Here is a 9,970-nt window from a genome sequence, read left to right on the forward strand (position 1 = left end):
TTGATAAATATTCTGTCTCTTGATGGTGTCTCATAATTCATTAGACTTCCTTTATTATCTTTTTGCTCTTCTGACTGGATAATTTCAAATGTTTTTTTTTTTAACTCATTGATTCTTTTTCTTCTGTGTGAGTCTGCTGTTGAAGCTTTCTATTAAGTTTTTCATTTCAGCCTTTGTATTATTTGTCTCTATGATTTCTCTCTGGTTCTTTTGTCTGTTTTTTTGTTCATCTGATGTTTGTGTTTATTGTTTTTCAAATCTCATTACATTTTCTATAGGTTTTTTTTTTACTTTACCTAACTTTTTAATGAATATTATTCTGAATTCTTTGTCAGCCATTTCATAGATCTTCATGTTGGAGGGTCTGTTATTGTAGATTTATTAGTTTTCTTTGGGGGCGTCATGACTTCCTGATTCTTTACAATCCTATGTCCTTATGTTGTTGTCTATGCACTTGAGGAGACAACGCCTTCTTCTGCCCTTAACAGATATTCTTTGGCAGGTGTAGAGCTTCATTATTTATCTAGCCTATGATTATGTAAGGCCAGCTAATGATGACATTATGGAGGCAGAGCTTATTGTGAGTTATCTAGTGAGCTGGGGTGCTGCCGTTGCTTTCATGTTGTCAGGGGCTACTAGCTGAGGTCTGTTGACTGGTGAGACCACTGGCTGGCTCTGCTTTCAGGTGGAGCTGCTGGCTCAGTACTGCATAGGCTTCTGGTCGGCCAGTCACAGGATTTATTCCCTGGCTGGATAATCTCACTCTTTGTTATCTGCAGTTTGGCAAGGGCTGCAGGTTGGGCTCTGAGGTTAGGCAGGGAAATGACCTGAGGCTATGCTCCTTTAGAAGTATGAAATTAGAGATTGCTTCCCTGTCTGGGTTGAGCTGTGGGGTTGGCCTTTGGCTGAGTCAGGTGGCTGCTTGATTTCCTGGTTGAAGCAGTACTAGCAGCTCTGTTTCTCCAAAATGCACAGAGGTGGCAGTCTTCCTTCCTAATTCCTAAGCAGGATCATTAGTCAGTATAGCCCCTTTACTTATCTGAGATCCACAGGGTAGAAGTCTCTCTTCCTGGATGAGATCACTGGGAAGGGGGTGGGGCAGGCGCGGTTCTGAGGCTGGGTTGGGAGGAAAGCAGTCTAGGAGCTTAAGCTAGATTGTGCTTCCTATCCTACTTCTAAAGGCTACCGTCTCAGCTTTGCAGGTGTATTATGAGATTGGCTGGCAGCTATTTCTGATCAAGTTCTGCAGCTGGCAGGAAAGCAGAGGTGCCACGAAGATCTGTGTGCTAGTCCTCTTTGTTTCTACCTGACTCACCAGGCAGTCAAGCCATGTTGATTTTACCACTGTTCCCTGGGAAGTCAGTCCTGACTGGGCTATCTGAGAATGCTAGGGAAGCTGGATTCAGTTTTTGTTTTTCTTTCTCTCTAAAAAAATAAAACTGAGTTAAGGAAAACTCTCTCTGTCTGGCACCATGCCTGCTTGTTTGGAGTGAGACCATTCCTCCTACCCTTTGAAATTCAGATTGTGTTTCATTCTGCTTGCCATATGAGTATCTCAGGATTATTTCCAGATGTTGGAGTTTTTAAAAGGATGTTCTATTCTATGGATAGTTACTAGTTGTTGGTGAGTTGGGCCCAAGACTTCTTACTCTAGAATCTTGCTGATGGCACTCCCATAGAAGAAGTCATTTTATTTACACAAGCACATTACATGAAACCATTGGTGGGTGAGTATTCATACTTCACATAGGATTCACGCTGTGTGTAGGCAATGGGTACCTTAATCTTGTGACTGTTACCTTTCTCTAAATCCATACTGTAGCTGACTTTTCTGATGTGATATTCAATTTTAAATTTTAATGAAGTCAACTGATATTATTAAGCTGAGGATAAATTAGCTCTTCTTTCTATTTTAACACTATATTGAATTTGTCTAAGAAAAAATTATTAAGTAGACAGAGTTGGAGTTTACTGCCATTTAAAGTATCTTTTTTTAAAAGGCACTGCTGCTTACACCTTTTTTCCACCCTTTTGGAAGGTACTCTTTAATCTCATGCTTATGAGATTTTAGTCTTAGAACTATTTTCTTTACAATGAGAAGATAGTTCAAATTTAGGTAAATGTTAGACCAAAACTCAAACAAAACATAATAAATTACATAATAAATTATACAGAATAAGAAGAAAGAAAGAAGAGTAAATGAGTTTCCAAAATACTCTGTAAGAGTGAGAAGTGCATTTTTTATTGTCTTCCTCGACATTCCTCTTAATTTTGTCAATTAATGTTTACATCTCTTAAGAATCAATACTCACAACTGCTTATGGTGAAAAATGCCATCAAGTTTACCTTTACACCTATTAATTTCCATTTTTTACCATCTTTTGTTTGTAAGTAAGTCCTATAGAAACTAAAAACTTATTAATTTTGTCTTAATGAACATAAGCATTCTGCTAAAAGTGTTTTTCTTTACTGAATTCAAGGTCCATTTTTCCTACTTGGTGGAACTGTCATTGTGCCTACACATCACCATAGTGTATATTTGAAAAAGTATGGGTTTGAACAAAGCATTGATCTACTATCCACAATTTCTTTCTTTCTTTAGATTTTATTTATTTGTTTCTTTGCTTGCTTATTTACTGAAAGTACTAAAATTTGACTAGTATCTATCTTTCAAGAGCAATGAAATACCAGGAATAATGGTTATAAAACTTTGTGTATTTTTGTTTAATATTTCTTCTTCTTTCTATCTTTTCAGATGAGATCAAAATGTGATCTGAATGTACCAAGGTAACTTTATTATCATTTTGAAATGTGCCCTGTGGTCATATTTGTTTAATGTATTTCATTTGCCAAATTTCAGGATATCATTCTTGGTAATGCCTTATGTAAGACTTTTTAATATCTCACAAATGGTTCCCTAAAATTATGTGAAATATTTTGTCTGTTAGTGTCATATGCTGTTTTCTGTTGCCATAACTAAACCCCTAGGACTGGGTAATATTTAAAGTGAAGAAACTTACTTCTTACAGTTCTGAAGGCTGGAAAACACAAGGTACAGGGGTTATGCTTGGTGAAGGACCTTTTGCTAGTAAGGCATCTCTTCAGAATCTCAAGGCAGTATAGGGCATCACATGGTTAGGGGGCTTAGTGTGATAGTTCAGGGTCTTATTCTCCTCTTACAAAGCTACTAATGTCCCACCCTCACAAACTTATTTAATTCCAATTACCTCCCAAAGTTCCCACCTTTAAACACTGTAGTCAGATTTACCACCCTCTTGATACTATTAAAATGGGGATTAAGTTTTAACATGAATTTCAAAAGGGACAAACAGTTAAACTGTATAGCATTTAGCAATATTCTTAAAAGTAGTGAGAGGATAGTCTTTTTGGTAGAAAAATTTGAAGAATATTTAGAAAGCCACAATTTTATAAAACAACTACACTGTACCTCAAGGTGTAACAGCCCCTAAAGTAATATTAAATATTAATTTATTTAGATATGCTTTGTCTGGCTCATCTTCTACAATACCAACATATGAATCTGCAACACATTATGTCAGTGACAATTAAGGCTATGAATGATTGCCCATGTTAAGGTTCAAGGTATTTGAGCTTAAGTTATAGCTTTCTTAATCATTCTATGTTCTTATTTGATACATCACCTCTTTGGGTTTCAATACATCATCTTTAAAATGAGAGGATTAAAACATATAATTTCCATGGTTTTATTATTTTTAAGTTTAATGCTTATAAAGGTGTTGCTACGAGTGTCTGACAGAAATAACTCAGACAAATTGAGGGCTCTGTGAGCTCTTATAAACAACCAACTGCAAAAATGAAGACAGAGTAAATAAGTAGAGTAACAGAAAAAGTAAGCCTACTTACTTACCCACTGCAACCTCAAGCTAGCTCAGTGTAGATCTTTCAGGTAAACACAATGGTAGATGCAGTCTCGGTATTCTTTACTTCTCTTTTTGTTGGGAGATTTTGTACTTATTTGACCATAGTTTTTATATCTTTGCAAACCTTACTTGCACAAAGGTAGAAACAGCTGCACTTATTTGAGATAACATTATTTTACTCCTTATTCAAAAGAAAGTCCACGGTCCATAATTTCAATTTTATACTTGTCAGTAGCATAGTTTATCACATCTGCTTCTCTTTTTATTTTTCATATCTAGCAAAACTCTCAAACTAGATAAATCTATCTATTGCATTTCCCATCTATTACATTCAGAACTAAGATAACTGTGCCCTATTGGAAAAGGTCACACAAAAGTGCAGATTGGTTCCACTTTAAATTTATGATTACCAAGCACAAATGCAATCTCAACATGACCCAAAAATTGATCTGTGTTTCTCTGATCTGTTTGCTCTGTCACATTCCACAAGTATTTCAGAATTTTACAACTCCTTTAACAATCTTAACTTCTCCAATTTCCTAGTTTATTTCAGCAGGTTATCTTTTCCTATCTAAGGTCCATGTCTGTTGCTTGGATTCCATTCTCTACCTCTTCATGACCTTTACAGCATTGATTATTCATGCTTCTTTACATATTTAACCTCTCTCATTGTTTATCCTTTCTCATAAAGGATCCCTTCGCCCCACTTTCTGCTCAATCACTACTATACTTCTCTCTCCATTTCTAGCTAAACTCTGTGAAACATTATCTGCACTGTCTTTGTTATCTCGTCTCCATCTTGGGGAGAAGACCAAGCTCTCTGGACTCACTTAATCTATACAAAGAGTCCTCTCTAAATTCAGTTAAACATTTTTCAATCCTTAGCTTTTTGAGTTCTCAGTAGCATTCAAGATTGTTGTTAACTATTTTAGAAAGACTCATAGTTTGCAACCAATCAATCAATGACCGATACCGGATTTTTTCCTCTCTCCTATTTTTTTTGGTTAAAATTCCTCAAAGCTCAGGCCTAGGCTCTCTCTTCTCACACTGTGAGCAATGTCATACATTGTTGGCTTTAAATATCATTCATTTTATAGTATATGGTAAACAAAACCTCTCCTCTATTCCACTTATTTTTTCATCTCTACTTAGATATTTCAAAGATATGTTGATGTCATTATCCTCAAACTTAACCAATAGGCTTACATATCAAATGTGATATTATTCCAATGTCAGCATCTCTTGTATGGTTGAGTTATATATTCAGATACACAAACCAGAAAGCCATGAGCTATTCAACCACTTTCTCACTCAAGTTATGTAATACAGTGTTAAGACTTTACCAAGTCCCTCTTGAATGTACTAAATTTTGTTCATCCAACTTTCCCCATTGCAGGCCATACCACCATCATCTCTCATCTAGAATACTCAATAGCTTTGCATGAATCACCTTCCAACCCACTTTTCTTATTGCAGCCAGTAAACATTCAAAAACACAGATATTATCATCTGTTTACTCCAATGGCTCTCTATTGTATTCAGAATAAAGCCTTTTTTTAGAAAAAATATAAGACTCTTTAGTTTCTGATTCTCTGCATTTACTTCAAATGGTGCTGCCACCTGCTTTCTGCTTCCCAGCACCACTGGGTTTCCTTCAGTTTCTCCCAAATGTATCACTCTTTTTCTAATGCACTAATATGCTGATACACCTAGTCAGCCTTTTCATGTGCTTTTGCCTCTGTGTGGAGCACTATTTACCCTCCTCTAAAATACACTCACAGTTTTACTTGGTAGCACATCATTCCTCAAGGCTCTGCTTAACTGTGACTTCTGCCATGTTCTCACTTCCCAGACTAGTTAAATCATTCGCCATGTGCTTTGAGACTGTCTACTTTAATTCACTATCATAGTGTCTGAGCTAATCGTGACATAATCTTATTGAGTAAAGGCCTATGATTAAAAATAAGTTAGACAAAAACCATATGATCATCTCAATAGACACAGAAAAAGCATTTGACAAAATCCAGCATCCTTTTATGATTAAAAAAAAAAAGAACCCTCAGCAAGATTGGCATAGAAGGGATATGCCTCAAGGAAATAAAAGCCATCTGACAGGGTTTGGCTCTGTGTCCCCACCCAAATCTCATCTCAAACTATAATCCCCATGTATTGAGGGAGGAACCTGGTGGGAGGTGATTGGATCATGGAAGCAGTTTCCCCCATACTGTTCTCATGATTGTGAATGAGGTCTTATGAGATCTGATGGTTTTATAAGTGGCAGTTTTCCCTGCTTTCTTGCTCTCTCTCTCTCACTCTTTCTCAATCTCTGAATCATGCCTGCCACCATGTAAGAAAGATATACCTTGTTTCCCCTTAGCCTTCTGCCATGATTGTAAGTTTCCTGAGGCTTCCTCATTTATGTGGAACTGTGAGCCAATTAAACATCTTTCCTCTATAAATTACCCAGTCTAGGGTATTTTTTTATAGCAGTGAGGAAACGAAACTAATACAAGAAAGTTGTGCTGTAGAGAGTGGGGCACTGCTATAAAGACAATCTAAAAATGTGGATGCAACTTCGGAACTAGGTAACAGGTAGAGGTTGGAACAGTTTGGAGGGCTCAGAAGAAGACAGGAAGATGTAAGAAAGTTTGGAAATTCCTATAGACTTTTTGAATGGTTTTGACCAAAATACTGATAATAATTAATATGAACAATGAAGTCCAGGCTGAGGTAGACTCAGATGGAGATGAATAACTTATTGGGAAATGGAGCAAAGGTCACTCTTGCTATGCTTTAGCAAAGAGACTGGTGGGGGAAATGGAGCAAACGTCACTCTTGCTACGCTTTAGCAAAGAGACTGGTGGCATTGGCCTAAGCCCTCAAGATCTGTGGAACTTTGTACTTGAGGGAGATGATATGAAATTGGAATTTATGTTTTAAAAGGGAAGCAAAAAAAAGCTTCTGCATAGGAAAAATAATAATAATAGCAGAGTAAACAGACAACCCACAGAGTGAGAGAAAATAGTCACAAACTAAGCATCTGACAAAAGACTAATATCAGAATCTTCAAGCAACTCAAACAAATAAGCAAGAAGAAAACAATAACCCCATATAAAAATGAGCAAAGGACGTGAGTAGACAGTCCTTGAAAGAAGATATACAAATGCCCAACAAGCATATGAATAAATGATCAAAATCACTAATGACTGGGGAAATGCAAATTAAAACCTCAATGAGATACCACCTTCTCCTCTAAGAATGGCTATGATTAAAATATCAAAAAAAAAAAAGATGTTAGTGTGGGTGTGGTGAAAAGGGAACACTTTTTTACTACTGTTGGCAATGTAAACTAGCACAACCACTATGGAAAACAGTATGGAGATTCCTTAAAGAACTAAAAGTAGAACTACTATTCAATCAAGCAATCCAAATACTCAATCAAGCAATCCAAATACTGGGTACCTACCCAAAGGAAAGGAAAATAAGTCATTATATAAAAAGGACACTTCCACATGCGTATTTATAGCAGCACAATTCACAATTGCAAAAATATGGAACTAGCGTAAATGCCCATTGACAAACGGGCGGATAAAGAAAATGTGATATATATATATGATATATATCATATATATGTGTGTCTATATATATGTGTGTGTGTGTGTGTGGGTGTGTATATATATCCACCATGGAATACTACTCAGCCATAAAAAGGATTGAAATAATGGCATTTGAAGCAACCTGGATGGAGTTGGAGACCAGTATTCTAAGTAACTCAGGAATGGAAAATCAAACATTGCATATTCTCATTTATAAGTGGGAGCTATAAGGATGGAAAGGCATAAGAATGACATAATGGACTTTGGGGAACCAGGAGGAAGGGTAGGAGTGGGGTTAGGGATAAAAGGCTACACATTGGTTACAGTGAACACTGCTCAGGTGATGGGTGCACCAAATTCAGGAATCACCATAAAGAACGTATTCATGTAACCAAAAACTTCCTGTTCCCCAAAAACTATTGAAATAAAATAAGTTTGAGAGGTGCTACAATATTTTTTCATGTAAATTACCAGGTAAATTTAACAACCCCTGAATGAGAGGGCAATCTGTATACCCAGTAAGTCTAGAAACTTCTGAACCAATATCTGCGGTGCTAACTGATTTATTATTTTCTTTTACAGTAATACAAAAGCTGATATGAACCTGAATTCTTCCCAAAGGAAGAAAACTGCAAATGCCAGAGCCCCAATTTAGGTCTATATTTTTTTCTAATTTGTCCACCAACATTTCTCCAAAAATGAAGATGTTCTCATTTTCTCCACATCCTTCTCATTATCTACTTGCAGCTCTCCAATGATTATTATTATACTAACCTGTTCATGGAAATGCTTTCATCTATTTTTTTCTAATGGAAGCATACTCACATTTTTCCATTTATTTTTTTCCACTTTCATCCAAGACATAAGTTATCCACCCTCTCCCACATTCCATTTTCAATATTTGACCTTAAATATCTCCACTTGTCAAGATGACTGACAGCTAACACTAAGACATCAGGTGCAATACTGAAATTTTTTTCTTAAGAAAAAGATCTGGAAAAATCTTACTATACCTTTGAATATTTCTGTGTCTTTGAATATTCTTTGCCTTAACTCCCTGCAGGACTAGAAACTCCTAACTCTCCAAATTTCCATATAAAATGTGCATTCTCAAGATTGTGAACATTAAGCAGAATATATACTTTATAATTTGACCTCTGTTATTTAGGGAAGTGTTCACATTTTTAAATATGTAAAATCAAGTGGAAATGTGAATGCAAGTCTATACCAACACTAATAAAATATTTCTTATTCTCAATACAAAATTTCTCAACTTTTTTTCTGGAAACTGTTCTTTGGAAACCTTACCCTAAGCCCTCAATCCTTTTTTTTTTTTTTTGAAAAAAAATTTAATACAAGACCAAAAAAATTTAATACAAGACCCTGGCTTCACTTAAAGTTACTTAATGCCAGGAAAATAATGGAATGCCTTTGTTGTTCCAAACTTTCTACATAAGGAAAGTATAAAATGCATCTTGTGTTTCCTACCTAATTGAAAGGTGCTTTTGAAATTAACTCTTGACAATTAAAACTTTTAAACTTTAATATTCAGAATTAAAAAATAAGAATATAGTGACATGTAAACTCATTGTTCATAGAATGGTAAATTAATTGTAACTGACCCAAACCAATAACATATATCTAACAAACTGAACAATATTAGCAGCTGAGTTAAATCAAATGTAAAATGTTTTTCTTTAAAAGGGGCAAATTCTCAAAAATATGAGAAAAATAGGATTATTTTTAAGTTTTTCCCTCTTTCTTCATTGCATGCATTTCAATGTCTTGGGCACTTTATTTCACACTTCTAAGTGAAATTTTAAAATTTGTAACATATTCAGAAAAGTACACTAGTTAGTTACAGGGATACCAGTTAATGTATTTTTTTAAGGAGTATACATTTATCATCAGTACCCAGATCAAAAATATGCTTCAAAATATCTGATTTCATTCACTGAAATAAATAGTTTAATATTGACTGCCTTAGTCTTTCTTTGTGCAAACTCCTTTACTTTTTTGCTAGGCCATCTGTTTTTCTTATTTTTGCCTATATTATCCCCAGTCTAGAATTTTCTAACTTACTCCTTCATTTGACTTACTAATTAAAACACACACTCACATACAAACACACACAGTGATATAGTAAATACGTAAAAGAATGGGGGCAAAGGCTAAAAGATAAATGGCTGCAGCGATAAGCATTAGAAATATACCAGTGTGCAGGTTGGGCGCGGTGGCTCACGCCTATAATCCCAGCACTTTGGGAGGCTGAGGCGGGTGGATCACCTGAGGTCAGGAGTTCGAGACCAGCCTGACCAAGATGGTGAAATCCTGTCTTTACTAAAAACATAAAAATTAGCTGGGTGTGGTGGCGCGTGCCTGCAGTCCCAGCTACTGACACAGGAGAATTGCTTGAACCCGGGTGGCAGAGGTTGCAGTGAGCCGAGATCACGCCACTGCACTCCAGCCTGG

At 35.9% G+C, this 9,970-nt stretch overlaps 1 long non-coding RNA gene across 1 annotated transcript; it reads left to right on the forward strand.

The window, feature by feature from the left end:
• Positions 1-1,100: 1,100 nt before the first annotated feature.
• Positions 1,101-8,758, forward strand: LOC105376636 (uncharacterized). Its single transcript, XR_931210.3, has 3 exons — positions 1,101-1,727; positions 2,756-2,787; positions 8,081-8,758. It is a non-coding gene; the product is annotated as an uncharacterized LOC105376636 (long non-coding RNA).
• Positions 8,759-9,970: the final 1,212 nt, after the last annotated feature.

Source organism: Homo sapiens, chromosome 11 (assembly GCF_000001405.40).
Source record: "Homo sapiens chromosome 11, GRCh38.p14 Primary Assembly".
Taxonomy (NCBI): domain Eukaryota; kingdom Metazoa; phylum Chordata; class Mammalia; order Primates; family Hominidae; genus Homo; species Homo sapiens.